At 38.6% G+C, this 19,741-nt stretch overlaps 3 annotated features.

Moving 5' to 3' along the window:
* Positions 5,041-5,210: an enhancer, noted in NCBI's record as "experimental_32236 CRE fragment used in MPRA reporter constructs". NCBI's record gives its function as "activates a minimal promoter by MPRAs in K562 erythroleukemia cells, with activity observed for both the introgressed and non-introgressed 13:109060245 variant alleles {active_cell/tissue: K562}" and the evidence as "EXISTENCE:reporter gene assay evidence [ECO:0000049][PMID:34662402]".
* Positions 5,317-5,486: an enhancer, noted in NCBI's record as "experimental_32244 CRE fragment used in MPRA reporter constructs". NCBI's record gives its function as "activates a minimal promoter by MPRAs in K562 erythroleukemia cells, with activity observed for both the introgressed and non-introgressed 13:109060521 or rs9559326 variant alleles {active_cell/tissue: K562}" and the evidence as "EXISTENCE:reporter gene assay evidence [ECO:0000049][PMID:34662402]".
* Position 5,402: a transcriptional cis regulatory region, noted in NCBI's record as "Neanderthal adaptively introgressed variant 13:109060521 (GRCh37/hg19 assembly coordinates) or rs9559326 in the experimental_32244 CRE". NCBI's record gives its function as "modulates activity of the experimental_32244 enhancer by MPRAs in K562 erythroleukemia cells {active_cell/tissue: K562}" and the evidence as "EXISTENCE:reporter gene assay evidence [ECO:0000049][PMID:34662402]".

Consider the following 19,741-nt stretch of genomic DNA (forward strand, 5'->3'; position numbering starts at 1 on the left):
GCATTCTTGCCTCTGCAGGTGCACAGTTGGAATTTCCAATGGGAGTCTTGCTGCCTGAAGGAGCTCCCAGAATCACCTCAAGTCCCATAGCTCATTCAAGGAGGTCTAGAAGCAGCAGAGCCCCTCAGCCAAGAGACCCTGCTCTCAGGGCCCTGCTCTAATCCCCCACCTCCCCTTCTTGGTGTCCTAGGATTTACCCCCATCCCTTTCCTGGCTCCCAGGACTTTTCTCCTGCACAGACCCTCCAGAAAACCCAGGGTAATCTCTACAGGGGGTGTAGGCTTTTACAAAAGACAGGGAGAGACAGACTGCTTTCATCCCAGCCAAAAACCCCAGAGGAGTTGGGGGTGGAGGAGGGATTTCTAAAAGAATTACAAATCCTGGCTACTTGCTTGAAATGAGAAGGAGAAAATTCCGGGAAGTACAGAAACAATGTACTATTTCAGTAACGTATCTTGGCCACATAAAGAAAGAGGATTTAAGCATGTCCAAATTAAACCGTAATGAAAATGCTTACGGCAAGAAAGCATCAGAGAAAACAGAGACTTGTTGTCTAGTTTAAAATCAAATTTTAAATAAAGTTGTGACATCAAATTCAAAGAGAAAGGCAAACAGGTCTTTGGAAGCTATGAAAGCAAACGAACACAGACAGTTTAAAACCTGCAGCTTAGCAGTGTTGCTTCTCTGAATACAAAGGTGCCTGGTCCACGATCTCTGTTCTGAAGGGTCTGACACAGAAGACACAACACCCAAGAAAGGAGCACAGGAGTTCTCCAGTCTGCTTATTCAGCCCTCGGGGAAGCTGTCCTTGCAGCAGCTAGAGATGTCCTGGCTCTCACAGTGAGATCACTTGCTCAAACAGATCAAATTCACCAAGATGCCACTGCAAATAGACATCGTTCCCTTCAGAATCCTGGCTAAATAGAGAGCAGGTGGTAGTGGCTATCGTCTTCTAAATCAAGTTCATTTTCAAGAAGAGCAATCGTGTTTATCCTTGCATTTTCCCTACATTGTAAAATGTTAACTGGAATATATAAGATGATTTTCTTTCACATTTCACCATCCTGATTAACATTTGCTAGTAAACAAACCAACAAAATGTATAAATGCATTACTGGGAGATAATGAATGAAAATATCTCTTAGAGTTTTGTTGTGAGAAGAAACAGAAAACTGGGTTGGTTGTTGGAGATGGAAAAACTACAAGTACAGATTTGTGGTTTTTTGTTTGTTTTATTTTTGCCCCTTTGGGGGAGTTGATGTGTAAGCGAACGGGCATGATACCATAGAAGAGGAAATGATGAAGCAAAAGAGGGAGGCAAGAATTTCTAGTCCCATCTTTGAGGAGAGGAGAGGGAGTAATTCCCAGTGGGTTCCTGGAGTAGTTGGCCTTAGCCAGGATCACGTTGGTTCATGTAGGAACCGGAGGATGCAGAAGGTGAACACTGTTGCTGGACATTGACGGAGGACATCATGGGGTCCAAGAAGTCTTCTAATTTCTCTTTGTGAATGGCAAGCAAGAGCATCAGATGCCTCCCAGCACTTCCATAGATGCCATTGCTTCTCGTTTTGTGTGAGTTACTTCTGAAAAACTCCTTTCTCCTACATCTTTAACCTCTTTCTCTCCATTGACTTCTTCTCTTCCATTTAATGGCATTTTTTAAGTTTGCCCAATCTTAAACAATAACAACAATTCTCCAAATTTTCTCCACTTTGGCTACTGTCATTCAACAAATTCTTACTAAACAGCTGCTGTTTGCCAGATCCTGAGCTGATGCTAGGAATCAGAGACAAATACAAGGAGATTCTGTTCCTTGGGAGCACTAACCAGCTACAAGGCATGTCCTCTCTTTCTCCCTTCATAGAGAGGAATCCAAGGATAGTTGTTTATAATTTCTGTCTCCATTTTCTCACTTCTCATTCTATCTTCTGCTTATTGCAATTTGTTTCCTGCCTCAGGAATTCACTGAGATTCTTCTAGGGTCCAGTGATCTCAATGACAAATCAATCCCTGAGTCATTTTCATGCCATATTGAATGTTGTGTGCACACTCTATGGGAAACCTCAATGATTTCCACCTCCCAACATTCACATTCTTCTGTAACCCACTCCCTTAACTGCAGAAACTGTGACTTGCTTATAACCAACAGAATATGGCAATGGTGATGGGATGTCTCTCCCACAGTTATGTTAGAATATGTAAGACTCCATTTGGCAGACTGGAGTGAGAGATTCTCTTTGTTGGCTTGATAAAGTAAGCAGACATGGAGAGGAAGGCCACGAAACAAGAAACTGTGGGGTTCCTCTAGGACCTAACTAACAGTGGCTCCAGCCAACACTTACCAAAAAGTGGGGCCATTCAGTCATATAGACACAAGGAACAATTAGGCTGGTGTAAAAGGAATTGTGGTTTTGCCGTTACTTTTAAAAACCGCAATTCCTTTTGCACCAACCCAATGCATACCATGACCTGAATGAGTTCGGAAGTGAATCTTCCCTAGTCAAGCCTCCACATGAGAACACAGCCCAGCCAACACCTTGGTTGCAGCATCCTGAGATCCTGGGCAGAAGGCCCAGATAGGTGATACCCAGACTCCTGACCCATGGAAACTGTGAGAGAATGAATAGATGTTGTTTTAAGCTTCTCAGTTTGTGATAATTTGTTAGGCAGAATCAGAACATTACTGCATTGTATGAGTTAAGGAACATTTGTAACAGTTTACCATTTTCTCCCTCTAGAAAATTTCTTCATCCTTTTTTATCTGTATCATTTCTTTCTGATTTTACTGTTTATTCTGCAAAAATTTATTCCTACTCTGGTATGTGAGCTAATCTCCTCTCAGCTCACGTTCCCCTTAATGCTAATATTCCTCAGGGCTGCTCTCTCTGCACATGGTAGTGGCTTCTGGATTTGCATCTCTAACTCCAATTTCTTAAAATCCAAAGACACATATTTGTGATTTTTTAATGAACTCAACAATTCAACCTGAACATACCTAAACCATGATATACCTCCCGTACAACCTAACTAGAAATTAGACATCATCACTCAGTTTATCCCCCAGGCCAAATTTCCATAAGCAACCCTCTAGATCACTCCCTCTCTCTAATGTGCCTCATCCAAAAATTCTGATTAGCCATGAGTCAGTTGATTTTAAGGTGTAAGTGTCTCCATATCTTTCCCTCCTCCCTATCTCTACTGATAATATCTTGGTGTGGAAAGTCATTCTTTACTGGACTATTTCAACAGCACCATAATGGGTCACAATATTCTCGGCTTGTTCCCAGTCAATAGTCAGCCCAGTATTTCTTGAGCATATACCATGTGATGCGGTCAGAGCTGAGAGTAGCTATGGAGTACAAGACACATCTGATGACACCTTTATGGAGCTCACTTCTCTACCATCCAAAGATGCTTATTGCTCATCAGGGAACTATAGTCTCACCTCTAAGCAGTGCTACCCAAGATGCTGGTCTAAAAGAGATGAGGAGCTTGAGTCAGGTTGTAAATTAATGCATTACTATCTTCTTCAACAAAGTGTATTTTTTAGAAATCAGCTGAGCTAAATGAAGTGCACTTCATGAAGTCGTTGATTGACATTCTAGAGCAAGGTTCTTAACGTGTCTGAGGCCAGAACAAATGACCTGCAGACTGGAAGAGGATTCAGAGACAACACTTGGGTAGGAATGGTTCCATGCATCCCTCACTGTTGTTAAAATAACTTCTGTAAGAATTAATGATTTTTAATGCCTTTCTCTATAATTGAATTCAATGGCTCTCTTTCACTTATTAGATAATCTACAAAGTCCTATTATTAGCACAGAAAAGACCTTAATGAAATAGCCGTTGCCTCCCTCTCTATTCCTAACTTTATACAGTTTATTATGCGTCTATCATACGAAGCAATTTGTATTTTTTTTACTTTGACATTTTCTCTCCATTACATTGTAAATTATTTCTTCTATATAAAAAGTCTTTCACTTTCTTATCTCTTTGCTAAATGCTACCTTATTCTTTAAGATTCAGGCCTGATGCCAGCATTTCTATGAACTACATTCTGCCTCATAATATTTTGTATATACCTCCAGTTTAGATTTTATGCTATCTTTGAGGATAATTGTCACCATTCACTAGATTGAGTTCTTCAGAGGTGATAATTTTGTCTGAGTCATACATGTATACCCGGAGCATAGCACAATCCCTGGAGCTTGAAATATATGTGCAAAACAAAGCAAATTAGTCTTCATCTCAATATCTTCACTCTTGGAGCTATTTGTTTTCTAGGTATTCAGTGCTGTCATCCGGTAGTTAGCAGCAAAACATCCCATATATGTCTGTCTTGGAAAATTTATTTGTCTCAGAGATACTACATTAATGTAATAATAACAATAAAACCTAATTATTGAAATTGCAATATTGTAGCACACTACTGGGAATGATATTTTTGTGGCTGATAGAATCTCATAAGTTACTTAAGCTATTGACTCATATCTGCCTGGCCGGTCCTGCCCATAGGGAAAGTTTACCTGGGTGATAGAAAGAGTAAAAAAAATATAGAGAGAAAGGAATAGATTTGGAGCAGAGGTGAGGACTCATTTGTCTCTGTTGTTTATTTTTCTTTCTTTCTTTTTTCTTCTGGAGGCACTGCCTTTTTTTAGTTCTTTTTTTATTATTATACTTTTAGTTCTGGGTACATGTGTACAATGTGCAGGTTTGTTACATAGGTATACATGCTGGAGGCACTGCTTTGACCTTTTCTCTGTTTACATCAGTAGGTTCTAGGTTGAAGAGTTTGAACTTCCCCAGGTAATGTGAGTGACACTTCTGATGAGAAGTCAGTTGCATACAAGGAGGTGTTTCTTCCTTTCTTGGTGTGTAGGGATTATTGCTGCACGGGGTTTCATTTACTAATAACATACTCACCCCAATCACACTTGTTATGACCACACTTTTCTTTCTCAGTATAAGTAGAGTAAGTCTACCATTTTGTAATGATTATTCCACTATAATCGTTACCTACTTCCTCCTTTTGCACTGTGAAACTTTCATGCTTCTCATATATCACTTCTCCACTGTACCAGGCAGAATAAATTGCTTTCTTCCAGTAATTAGTCTTGGTGGAGAGAGAATAAACACTGTCTTTAAACAGAATACTTTGCAGCCTAACATTTTGTAGTAATTTGTTTTACCGATTTTGGTTACCTATGCATATCCTTAAACAACTAGGCAATTGAATCAATTTAATGAGAAATATTAGTCAACCTAACTGTCTTTGAGTCACTAGCATCACAGTGGAATGCTTTAGATCATTTGGTTTTAAAAGAAAGGAATGAAATAAGAATGTCAATCAATAACCAGATATCTTTTCACTTATGTGAATTGATTCACTTTACCCAATTGATCCACAGATCTCTTATTCATGAATAAATTACAATGTTTTAAAAGAAAATAATTCTATGACAATGAACTAAAGCAAAATGATACCTTTATTCAGGATTAAATCCATTTGAAAGAATAAAATTTATGGCCACATATTTTATGATTTCATTTATATGAAATGTCCAGAATGGATAAATCTACAGAGACAGAAAGTAGATTAGTGTTCGTGTGGAGCTTAGGGAAGAAGAAAATAGGGAATCACTGCTAATGGGTGGGGTGTTTCTTTGGGATAATGAGAATGTTCTGGAATTGGATTGTGGTGATGGTCGCAAACCTCTGAATGTACCGAAACTACTGAATTCTATATGTTAAAAGGGTGAATTTTATGGTGTGTGAATGATATCTCCATAAACAATAATATATAGAGATGGTGTTATCTATATTGTATTTCAATTTCAATGTACCTCTGTATTGAAAGCACAGTATTTTTTTTTCTGACTATGCCCATTGTTTCAAGAACAGAAACATTGACATTTTCTAGTTGATGAGATATCTTTAATTTATAGAGTATCAGATTTAGGAGTTCTTTATTGGCTAACACTTTAATTTTTAGTTTTTAATAGGGATATCTGTCCCTGAATAAATTTGCTAAGATTTCCCCTGACTGGCTGCACATCCTGGCTCAGCTTCCTGCCCCTCCCTGCAGCTGCACGGGCAGCTCTGGCTGGTCTCAGAGCAGAGCAGTAGGGTCTGCGAGGCACTGAGAGACAACATCAGAAGCTCAGACCCTCCTCCTCCTCTGAGAGAAACATAGCCCATTAATGCATGCCTACTTAAAGTAATAGTGTATCCCTGATGTTCTACTTACTGCTCATGTAGTGTCTACAACTACAGAAGGAACTCCATCCAGTCTCCCAGTCACTTATTGAATGACTTTCCTCAGTCTTAACAGTAATAAATAAGACTGAGGAAGGAGGATCATTTGGAAGCCAGGAGTTCAAGACCACCCTAGACCCCATCTCTACAAAAACTTAAAACAATTTAAAAAATTAAACAATAATAAATAAACATTACGCAAAGAAACATACAAACCAAGAAACCCTCCATGGGCATTTTTACTATGCTGCTTTCACATGATTCACCACCAACGTCATGCGAACAGCTGATTCTGCTATAAATCAAGTCTTATAGTGCAGATATCCTGGTAAAATGATTATTTTTAAAAAGTGAAAAGACTTTTGAGCCCAGATTAATTGCACAACTCACTTATTTTTAGCCTTTCTCGAATCGATAAACTTCTATTTAATGATCACTTAGACATTTTCTTTAAAAGATTATTTAACAAGGGCTTGTCTATACTTACAACCTGTATTTGCAATCAGTTTATGAAAAGATGTGGTGAGTGGCCCAGTAGCCCCTGATTAGTGGCTGGCAAGTCCAGCAGGTTTGTGCTGTTGTACACAGATGAACAAGACCAAGAACAAACGACATATTCAGATTTTTCTCTCCTCAAAAGGCAACATAAAAGATTCAATGAGCCTGTTTTGACTGTTACTAATAAATACCTTGATTATAAATTTTTAAAAATGTGTTGTACAAAAATTGTAAAATTCTTATACCTAAGTACATGAACAAGCCAGGCAATTGAAATATTAATTACAAAATATTTTTTAAAAGAATATGATAAAAAAAGAGACACTTTAAACATTAGTATGTTCCTACTACTAGATAAGATCTTTTTGGTTTCCTGTTGACTTGAATTTAAAAGGAGACTTTAAATATAAAACATGCACAGGAGAAGTTCTTGCTACTATAATGAAATCAGCTCCTTTTTATGTAGAAACTGATAAGTCTTTTGCTAGATTGTCTGTACCTGCTGTCTTAGGTGAATTATATTTTAGTTCAGCATTCTTTATAAGCTGCAGGAAAAAATGGGTATTTTATCATAATCTGTGCTGGCCATAGCTATTAGTTTTTTTTGTAAACCTGAATCCAGGACTTAGCATATATTTTGTCATCTGATGAAAAATGTTTAAAAGAGATAAGGAAATGAAAAGAAATGTAAATTAGATTTATTGTGTGAAAGACAATTATTCTTTTATTTTTATAATATATTCAGACTCTGCGTGGAGAGGAAACTAATTTTAGCTGAATTCTTAAGAGAGAAAAGGCACCAGCAAAGCTTCTTAAATTAGAAAAAATCCTAAAATATACAACTTCTTTCTCTAATCCAGAATTTGTTAGACTTATTTGACTATTAATACCAACTGATGGTAATCAATACTTGCATACTCTTTTCATTTTTAAATGGTTTTACTCCTTTGTTCTGCTTATGGTTGTCTCTGAATTAAAATTTTAGAAATATTCTACAGAGATGCACTGTCTATTTCCCTGCTATTTATTTATTTATTAAGGCCAAGCATTAATCAATCCATCCTAGTTGAACAAAGGCACTTATTTGTTCTCAGAAACACAGCACCGGCAGGGCATGTGTCTCCTAGCACAGCAGTCCCCAACCTTTTTGGGACCAGGGGCCAGTTTGGGGGAGGACAATTTTTCCACAGACTGGGAGTTGTGGGGATGGTTTCACAATGATTTAATTGCATTGCATTTATTGTGCACTTTATTTCTATTACTATTACATTGTAATATATAGTGAAACAATTATACAACTCACCAGAATGTAGAACCAATGAAAGATTCTATACAGTTCTAGAATGTAGAAGCCCTGAGTTTGTTTTCCTGCAACTGGATGGTCTTATCTCAGGATGAGAGGAGACAGTGACAGATCATCAGGCATTAGATTCTCACAAGGGGCATGCAACCTAGATCCCTCACATGTGCAGCTGACATCAGAATTTCAGCTCCTGTGAGAATCTAATGCCAGGGCGGATCTCACAGGTGGTGGAGCTCAGGTGGTTATGTGAGCAATGGGGAGCGGCTGTAAATACAGATGACCCTTGGCTCGCTGGCCTGCCACTCACCTCCTGCTGTGTGGCCTGGTTCCTAGTAGGCCATGGAACTGTACCAGTTCATGGCCTGGGTGTTGGGGATCCCTGTCCTAATGGGTGTTCCAAGAGACATAAAATAGTTGCTTCTTAGGAGCAAAGGATTCAGAGATCAACTCTGCCAGGAACTGTGGAGCTCAAGAGTGAATCAGATGCACTTTGCAGCGGGCTTGGACAGCAATGGGGCCATGGGGGAGCAGCAGCAGAGGCTAAGACACCCCTCCAAGAGAATGGGAGAGTTTTGAGGAAAGATCGTGTCTCATTAACTCCTGCATCCTCAGTGCCTAGAATAGTGTTTGGAACATGTCAGGTGCTCAGTAAATATTCATGGAATTAATAATATCTTTGGGCAAATTATATTTTTGAAAAGATTAAGAAAATCTTTGGTGTACTATTATTTAAATACATAATGGAATCATTTGATAGAGAACAGACATCAAAATTCCCTATGCTAGAAATGTGGGACAAAGCTCTTCTTTTCTCTGTGAGCTCTCTTTTTCTTGTTTATGTAATGGTTCTTTGAGTGGTTTTATGATTGCTAAGACACAGGAAAAAGCAGTTGCCTAATGATTACCCATAGTTTTCCAATTTGGGGGCTAATACTACTAAAACCATGTTGTTTTGAGGTGTTTTTAACCTAATCTTTTTTTTACAAAAACAACTCTTTTTGCCACTCCAGTATGTGGTTTTATTTGTGTTTATGGGAAATCAACAGGAAGTCAAAACCACGTTTCTGCTGTGGTATCTATTCACCTTTTGGAACTATTGAATAAAGTGATTTTTTCTATTTATTTAAAAATAAATGGATGGTTAACCCTTTTAAAGATAATTCTGGTTGCAGAAGCATATTAAAGATGTATGCAGTTAAATACCATTTAATACTAGTTGCATTCAAATGGCCATTTGACTTGGGGATATTTATGGTTCATTGGTTCTGATTATGCTGACTTTTAATATTTCCTAATTCAGCCTTAGTGTACTCTACTAAGTACTAAACTTTTAATATTTCATAATTCAGGCTTAGTGCACCCTACTGAGTACTAGACGTTTAACATTTCTTAATTCAGCATTAGTGCACTGTATTAAGTACTAGTGTAGTTGGTGGAGGCAAATTTGCATGCAGGACACACTTTCAAGGGATTCTGGAAAATGTGATTTTAGCCTTCTTACCTTTCTAAAAAGAAGTTTGGAATGGAGTTTCAAAGAGCCAATCCAGTCATCAAACACATTCATCATTAACTGATTGAGAGACAATTGCCTCCAACTCCAGGCATCACCTCTGTGTCCAAGGCAAGATGAAAGTGCAAGGCCCAGTGAAGTCCCAACTGTCATTTGTCTTTCCCTGATACCACATCCCATTTCCCAGCAGTGTCCTGCCTATACTTCATTACTCATAAAGGTCTCATAAGGCCACATCTAGCTGCAAAGGAGGAAGACAGAGGGCAGGAGCTCTGAAATGCCTTGACCAGGCAATATGTAGTGCCTGCTTTATCCACTTAAGTGTCATTCAAGAATCAAAATAAAGAATACTTTCAAGAACTCATGCTTTTAGGGACCACACAGTCTTATTGAAAAAAGAGCACTTGATAATAAAATCAGCTATTTAAGAGATGAATGAAGATGCTCGGCTTACGGGATTAATGGTACATGTTGAATCCAGTATTAAAGAAAGGTATGGAGCAGGAAATAAATGGTGTAAATAACATAACACCAAATCAACTCAGGCGGCAGTAGGAAAGAGAAGAGGAGTGGAAGAGAGAAGTGTAAATATTTGTATCTCTAATTGTGAGGAGTCAAAAGAATCACCTAAAGATAATAACTTAATTGAAGTTTAAGAGCATAAATAAATTAAAAAACAAATTGTAATAACATAATCAAATATATTACTGATATAGGGAAGATGAAAGGAAAAAAGAATAATTTATGATTTTTTAATAACTTCATCTGGAACTTAAAGAAAAGCAGAGGTGAATATATCTTTAGTTCTTACTATTGTTCACCAGTGTCCACCGCTGTTTTTTTTTTTTGTTGTTGTTGTTTTTTTACTTTAAGTTCTGGGATACTTGTGCAGAATGTGCAGGTTTGTTACATAGGTATACATGTACCATGGTGGTTTGCTGCACCTATCAACCCGTCATGTAGGTTTTAAGCCTCATATGCCTTAGGTATTTGTCCTAACGCTCTTCCTCCCCTTGCCCCCCACCTCCCAACAGGCCCCTGTGTGTGATGTTCCCCTCCCTGTGTCCATGTGTTCTCATTGTTCAACTCGCACTTATGAGTGAGAGCAGTGTTTAGTTTCCTGTTCCTGTGTTAGTTTGCTGAGAATGATGGCTTTCAGCTTCATCTATGTCCCCACAAAGAACATGAACTCATTCTTTTTTATGGCTGCATAATATTCCATGGTGTATATGTGCCGCATTTTCTTCATGCAGTCTGTCACTGATGGGCATTTGGGTTGTTTCTAAGTCTTTGCTATTGTAAATAGTGCGGCAATAAACATAGGTGTGCAGTGTCTGTATAGAATGATTTATAATCCTTTGGATATATTCTCAGTAATGGGATTGCTGGATCAAATGGTATTTCTGGTTCTAGACCCTGGAAGAATCGCCACACTGTCTTCCACAATGGTTGAACTAATTTACACTCCCACTAACAATGTAAAAGCGTTTCTATTTCTCCACAGCCTCGCCAGCATCTGTTGTTTCCTGACTTTTAAATAATCGCCATTCTAACTGGTGTGAGATGATATCTCATTATGGTTTTGTTTTGCATTTCTGTAATGACCAGTGATGATGAGCTTTTTTTCATATATTTGTTGGCCACATAAATGTCTTCTTTTGAGAAGTGTCTGTTCATATCCTTCACCCACTTTTTGATGGGGTTATTAATTTTTTTTCTTGTAAATTTGTTTAAGTTCCTTATAGATTCTGGATTTTTTAAAAGTATTGCACACATATTATTAACATTTAAAAAGAAATTTTTAAGACAAAATAAACCTAGACTATATTCCTTCTAAACACATAGAAGCAAGGCACACACACAAGCCCCAAATTAAAAACATAGAGAAAAATGGAGAAAAAGAGAAAAATTTGAATAATTAATAAAAAGGAAATGGCTTTGGGAGCCTGAGGGCAGAGGATCACTTGAGGCCAGGAGTTCAAGAGCAACCTGGGCAACATAGCAAGACCCTGTCTCTACAAAAAATTAAGAAAGAAATTAGGGAGGTGTGGTAGCCCTACCTGCAGTGCCAACTACTTGGGAGACTGAGGCAGGAGGATCACTTGAGCCCAGGAGTTTGAGGCTGCGGTGAGATGTGATGGTGCCACTGCATTCTATCCTGGATGACAGAGCAAGACTCTGTCTAAGAAAAAAAAAGAAAGAAACAAAAATAGGAAATGTAAAAAATATACAGCAAAGAAGACAAAGCTGAGATCAAAGTCACTTGTCATATCCATAAATGTAGATGAGATAAAACAAAAAAATTAAAGGAAAACTTTTCTGACTTTATCAAATACAGAAGCCAAACATTTGCACACAAAACAATGAATTCTAGAACATACTTATAAATAAATACTGAGGATAAAAGGAAAGAAAAAGAATTAACAGATAAACGTATACAAAATGAATTCAGGTATTGTAAGATTAAGTCATGCATGGTTAAATACAAGGCAAAAATACTAAAAGACATAAAGAGATACTTTATGTTGATGAATGTTCAATATAAGATAAAGATTTACAACCATCATGAATCCAGTGCCACCAATATTGTACATGTTGTACACTGAATTCCAAGAAAACGTCTCTTTCAAGTGTTGTGCTGTGGGCTCTGATACATGTGAGATTTTATTTTGGGTACTGCGTACAGTGAGAGAGACAGAAGACAGGAGACTTAACCTAGGGCCATCCTAGGTTGGAAGTCTCATGAGAACTCCTTGAACAGAGCTGGTCCCAAAGAGTTAGCACTACTCTTTGTACAGGAAAGCAATAAATAAACCTGCTGCAAAGGGTGCAGGAAGGAAACTCACTTGTCATAACTTCAGCATTGAGTGACCACATAATTTATCCTCCAAACTGGGACATTTTTGAAGGGAAAGACACACTTCTTATAATTGCACTACAACAAAGTCTGGGATAGGAACAGAAATAGTCTGAGAATTCATAACCACAGTACAGTTCTTAAGCCACTTTTTCAACACAAATTCACATTATCTGCATGTCTGTGAAAAACCTATGCAAACAATTTAACTTAAAGTAGTCTCAAGGAAGTAGTAATCCTTGGAGCCTGGCAAAACAAATACCATTCCTCTTCAAGGAATACAACTCTAAAACAGGCCTAAAAGGATTTTCACAGAAAAAGTTGAATATGAGCTTGAGGAAAAATATCAGGAAACATGCAAGGAATAAAATACAATTTGAGTGAAAGCAGCAGAAATCCCAACTGTAGAATGAGCCCCTTATTCAAACAATTAAGTAACTCCACAGAATTCAAGACAAAGAGGCAAATATAAAAGCTTCAATTAATTACCAAACTCTGTAACATACAATTTAATAATTGGTCATTTGTGTAGCTACAATTAAGTAATTAGCTTAAACACAATAGATGAGAAAAATACATAAAATAAAAACAATGGCAAATAAATACAAAAATAAATGAAAATAGTTATATGTGATTACATTGCTAAACACTAAGCTAATAATTTGAAAATCAGATTAAATGATACTTATTAGGGAAGATTAAATGTCTAAAATTGATCTTGAAAATATTTAAAATCTATACAGTCTATCATTGATGGGCCTTTGGGTTGATGCCATGTTCCTGCTATTGTGAATAGTGCTGCAATGAACATACATGTGCATGTATCTTTGTAAGAGAATGATTTATATTCCTTTGGGTATATACCCAGTAATGGGATTGCTGAGTCAAATGGTATTTCTGGTTCTCGCTCTTTGAGGAATCGTCACACCATCTTCCACAATGGTTGAGCTAATTTTCATTCCCACCAACAGTGTAAAAGCATTCCCATTTCTCCTCAATCTTGCCAGCATCTGTTGTTTCTTGACTTTTTAATAATGGCCATTCTGACTGCCATAAGATGATAGCTCATTGTGGCTTCGATTTGCATTTCTCTAATGATAAGTGATTGTATTAGTCAATTTTCACGCCGATAAAGACATACCCAAGACTGGGCAATTTACAAAGAAAAGATATTTAATTGGACTTACAGTTCCATTTAGCTGGGGAAGCCTCACAATCATGGCAGAAGGCAAGGAGGAGCAAATCACATCTTACATAGATGGCAGCAGGCAAAGAGAGTTTGTGCAGGGGAACTCCTCTTTTTAAAACCATCAGATCTTGTGAGACTTATTCACTACCACAAGCACAGTATGTAAAAACCACCCCCATGATTCAATGATCTTCCACCTGGTCCCTTCCATAACATGTGGGAATTACAGGAGTACAATTCAAGATGATATTTGGGTGGAGACACAACCAATCTGTGTCAGTGATGTTGAGCTTTTTTTCATATGTTTGCTGGCTGCATGAGTGTCTTCTTATGAGAAATGTCTGTTTATGTCCTTTGCCCAGTTTTTAATGGGGTTATTTGCTTTTTTCTTGTAAATTTGAGTTCCTTGTAGATTCTGGATATTAGACTTTTGTCCAATGAATGGATTGCAAAGATTTTCTCCCACTCTCTATGTTTTCTGTTCACTCTGATGATAGTTTCTTTTCCTGTGCAGAAGCTCTTTAGTTTAATTAGATCCCATTTGTCAATTTCTGCTTTTGTCACAATTGCTGTTGGAGATTTCATCATGAAATTTTTGCCTGTTCCTATGTCCTGAATGGTATTGCCTAGATTTTCTTCTAGGGTTTTTATTGTTTTGTGTTTTACATTTAAGTCTTTAATCCATCTTGAGTAAATTTTTGTATAAAGTGTGATGAAGGGGTCCAGTTTCAATTTTCTGCAAATGTATAGCCAGTTATCCCAGTACCATTTGTTGAATAGGAAATCCTTTCCCCATTGCTTGTTTTTGTCAGGTTTGTTGAAGTTCAGATGGTTGTGGATGTGCAATCATATTTCTGAGTTCTTTATTCTGTTCCATTGGTCTATGTGTCTGTTTTTGTACAAGTACCATGCTCTTTTGGTTATTATAGCCTTATAGTGTAGTTTGAAGTCCAGTAGGGTGATTCCTTCAGCTTTGTTCTTTTTGCTTAGACACCACAGAACATTATGTAGCCATAAAAAAGGAATTAGATTATGTCCTTTGCAGGGACATGGATGAAGCTGGAAGCCATTATCCTCAGCAAACTAACACAGGAATAGAAAAGCAAACACTGCATGTTCTCACATATAAGTGGGAGCTGAACGATAGGATTACATAGACACGGGGAGGGGAACAACACACACTGGGGCCTGTCGGGGGGGTGGTGGGGGAGTGAGAGTATTAGAAAGGATGCCTAATGCATGTGGGGCTTAATACTTAGGTGATGGATTGATAGTGCAGTAAACCACTGTGGCACACATTTACCTATTTAACAAACCTGCACATCCTGCACATGTACCCAGAACTAAAAATAATAAGAAGAAATAAAATATTAAAAATCTAAAAAAGAAACTACCAAAAATGTTTTGAACTTTTATTTTAGGTTCAGGGCTACCTGTGCAGGTTTGCTATGCAGGTTTGCTATGCAGTTCTGTGTCACACAGGTTTGCTGTACAGACGATTTAATCACCTGGCATACTTCGGCATTGAGTGAAGGCAATAAGCATAGTACCTGATAGGTAGCTTCTTGTTGCTTATGCTCCACCCACCCTCCACCCTCAAGTAGGTCCCAGTGTCTGTTGTACCTTTCTTTGTGTCCACATGTGCTCAATGTTCAGCTCCCATTTGGGAGTGAGAGCATATAGTATTTGCTTTTTTGTTCTGCATTAGTTTGTTTAGGAAAATGGCCTCCAGCTCCATCTGTGTTCCTGCAAAGGACATGATTTTCTTCTTTCTTATGGCTGTGTAGTATTCCATGGTGTATATGTACCACAAATAGCTTTCTTTCAGAAGTAAACAAATACATTGTAACTATTAATATTTCAAAGGAGAAAAAGCAATATCTTGATAGAAGCTGAAAATCTAATTGTTAAAATTCTACTTCATTCATGAAAAAAGTTATTAACAAATTAGGAATTTACGAGTACTTACATTGAATCAAAACCTAGCATAATGATTAATGGTAAAAGACAAGAGCCATTTTTATTAAAGTCAGACAATAATCAAGAGCACCAATTGTTCTTTATCATGGTTTGAGACAACTAGCTAAAGTATCGCAGAGGCTGGAAAAAAGTGCAATAATTTTTAAAGCAGGAGCACACAAGATCATTTGAAAATAATGAGGAAAAATCCAAGAGAATGAACTGAATTCATTTAATGAAATGAAAAGATAAGGAAGCTTAATAAGCTGACTGGTTGAAAAATTAACATATGAAATTGATAGGTTGCAAATAAACAAACACCATCCATTTAGAAACATAACAGTTTAGAAGAATTACTTCCAAATGCAACATGAAAGAGAGAAGAGCAGGAAGAAACACTTTTCCTTCTCACTCAAGGTTGGACTGTAAGTAATTTTAACAACTCCTGTCTGCCCCACGCCTTTAGACAAGAGCAATTTGCAACTCTAGGGCTGCTTACATTGCAAAGATCTCTATTCTCTCCCATCCCAGAGACAAACTCTGCTGTCAATATGACTTTGCTGAGAGAAATTAGTTCATGTGTCTATTAAAAGATTGCATACAAATGTTCAAAGCATCCTTATTTCTAATAGCCCCAAAATGGAAACTAGCCCAGTGTGCATCATTGGGAGAATGGATAAAAACTTGTGGGATGTGATGCAACGGAAGGCTCTTCAGCAATAAAAGGAAAAGGAAATCGTGATTGTGACATGTGCCATGGCTGAATTTCATAGCAACAAGGATGAGAGAATGCTAAACATAAGAGAATGCTGCTCCAAGTTTGAATCTGAACTTCTTGCTTTGTGTACCAAGCCATTCTTGCCCACATCCAATCTCCAATATCGTTCTCCATTTCCCAAGCCTTAGTCTTTTCCAAGTGGAATGACATGCTCAAATCAGTTTTCTAAATATGGTTAATACACTCATATTTGTGACTATGGCTATTCATTCATTTAGAAATATTTGAATGTCTGTGCTAGCCATCACACTGATACAATGGTGACATCATAGTGAAGAAGACAACGCAGTCTTATGGAACTCTGGGAGGGATGAAGGTAGAAGCTATGGGTCATGCATCTTATGCTTTGCTGGATCTTTAGTCCCTGGATCGTTGTAGACAATTGATAGACTTGTTAAATTGACACATGAGTGCATTGATAAACAAATTCATTTGAACAGAGCAAAAGATTGAGATTGATTCAGTTATTCAGTTGAAAACAGTTGAGAGGCTGTCTGTGTGGCAGTGAAAGACATAGAACAGTCCCTCCTGCCAGGGAACTGCCTTCAGTTGTGCAGAGCCAGACAAGAAATAAATAGGTGATGTGTCAGAAAGGGAGAAACACCATAAGGTAGGGAGGAGGAAGGTGGAGTGATGGAGATGGGGATGCTATTTCATATGAGTGTCCAGGAAAAGACTCTCTGACAAAGTGTCATTTGAGCAGAAATCGAAGAAAGGGAGGGATGGATCCCTGCAGGTATCTGGGGGAAAAGCATTCCAGGCAGAAGAAACTGCAAGAGTGAAGGCCATGGGGTGACGATGAGGCTGATGTGTTTTAGGAACAGGAAGTCGGGCAAGAGCTAGAGTGAAGTGAGCGAGGAAGTGGTGAGCAGATGGGCCAGAGAAACAATGGGCAGCCCAGTCATGAGGAGCCTGAGGCCATGGTGATGGGGCTGGGTTTCCCATGTAGCCGGCAGAGCCCACCACTGCCATCAGCCTGACCTAAGGCTGGTCCCCTCCCTGCTGAAGTGTTCAGTTAACGCCTGCAGCTGATGTCCTTCCTGCAGCCTCGCCAAGAACAACTGGACATCTCCCAGCATGTGTGCCTGAGTTCCTCTGACAGTGGTTATCACCTATAAACACACTATCGTGACACTTTTCCTGGCTGCCGTCTGGGATTCTCCTGCTCAAGTTAATGTCAAGGGGCCTTCTCACAGTGGTAGACGATGGTTATTGGAGCTGGCTTGGGTGGCTCACTAGAAGCGATTATCAGTGTTCATCCCAACTTGGTGTTCACTGGTGTCAAACTGACAGAAATCAACCACAGTGGAAACATAAATCACTGCTTTCTCCCCTCTCCCTGAGAGTTGGTTGTTAAACCTTTACTAGCACGTGACCAACAATATGTCTAAACAACAGTATGTCTACATTCCTCCTTATCTGCCGTCTCTTGATCCCCAGAATACTTTTTTTTTTTTTTTTTGAGAAGGAATCTCACTCTGTTACCAGCTGGAGTGCAGTGGTGCCATCTCGGCTCCCTGCAACCTCTGCAACCTCTGCTTCCTGGGTTCAAGTGACTCTCGTGCCTCAGCCTCCCAAGTAGCTGGGACTACAGGCACACGCCACCATGCCTGGCTAATTTTTGTATTTTCAGTAGAGACAGGGTTTCACCATGTTGGCCAGGCTAGTCTTGAACTCCTGACCTCAGGTGATCTGCCTGCCTCAGCCTCCCTAAGCGCTGGGATTACAAACGTGAGCCACTGCGACCAGCCTTAAACCCCAGAATACTTTTAAACATACCATCTGGTAAATGTGACCAAGATCATAAAGCTCTGATTGACAAAAGGCTCACCAGAAGCAACGGAGATTTCCATTCCTCTGGGAGTAGATGAGGAAGGATTCCTCCTTGCTTCAAGAGGAATTCTTTCCTTGGAACTTCAGCGTGCTAGTTTCCCTTGCCTGCTCTGGGGTCTATCCCACTCTTCAGTTACTTGCAGATGCTGGAACTCAATGATGTCGTTTGCCCCTAGAAAAATAAGCCTGATGTTTTATTTTATGCTTTCTTCTCCCGGTATCAATCCAACTGTCTCTCATGCCACAACATGACATATGTAATCCTTAAGAGAACCACAGTATGCAAAATTGCATGGTAAAAACCACAGGGCTAGGGGGAAAAATTAGGTTAGGGATACAACACTCAAAAACTTTGTCAGTGACACAGTAAAGAAAAAAAATATAAGAGCCTAACAAGAATGAAAGCACAATTTTCACATGTTAAATGGTCAGGACTAACACAACAAGTATGACACATTAAATTGGAAAAGACCCCAGGTTGCTTGTGGAAGGGGTGTAGAAACCACCTCAGCTTGTGAGATATTGTGAAGTCATTGCAGTATGGGGTTATTTGAAACTGGAAGAAAGTTGTAACAACAGATGAGATAGGTGCGGCTCATCACATAAGACAAACGGAGGTTGCTGGTAGATTTATGAAGTGTGTGCATTTTGTGTATTTCTATAGGGCTCTGTATCTGGGTGCAGTTTTTCACATACATCTAATATTTCTTGCAGACAAAGTCAGGCATAAACAAAACAAAATTCACATTAAGCACAAACTGTTTTGAAATACATCAGTCAATATAGGAACAAACTTGAGTTTTTCTCAACAAATGTTACAGCAGAATTGACTGCTCTTAATAATCTTTAATCGTCTTTACATACACTTGAATATATGGCACAACATCTATTTAGACTGGTGATTCTCGACCTTGGCTATCGATTAGGTCACCTAGAGACCTTAAGAAAAATATCAATGCCTGTGTCCACTCCTGGATGACTTAGAGCTGTCTCTTAGTATGTTGGTCCTGAGTACATTGTTTTATGCTTTGATAATCCTAATGTCTAGTTAGATTAGACATTAAGATTAGACTAGTTACATTAGACATTATGTAAATTATAAATATAAACACATAATACTATATAGTTTTCTAACTCACATATGTATTTATGCTTTCTCCTCCCAGTGTCAGTCCAACTGTCTCTCATGCCACATGAGAAACAGTTGATTTAGAAAATTATATGTAGTGTATGATTTAGAAAATTATATATAGTGGCTGGGCGCGGTGGCTCACGCCTGTAATCCCAGCACTTTGGGAGGCCAAGGCAGGCGGATCACGAGGTCAGGACCATCCTGGCTAACAGGGTGAAACCCTGTCTCTACTAAAAATACAAAAAATTAGCCGGGCGTGGTGGCAGGCGTCTGTAGTCCCAGCTACTCGGGAGGCTGAGGCAGGAGAATGGCGTGAACCTAGGAGGCGGAACTTGCAGTGAGCTGAGATCATGCCACTGCACTCCAGCCTGGGTGACAGAATGGGACTCCGTCTCAAAAAAAAAAAAAAAGGAAATTATATATAGTG

The sequence above is a fragment of the Homo sapiens genome, chromosome 13 (assembly GCF_000001405.40).
Source record: "Homo sapiens chromosome 13, GRCh38.p14 Primary Assembly".
Taxonomy (NCBI): Eukaryota; Metazoa; Chordata; class Mammalia; order Primates; family Hominidae; genus Homo; species Homo sapiens.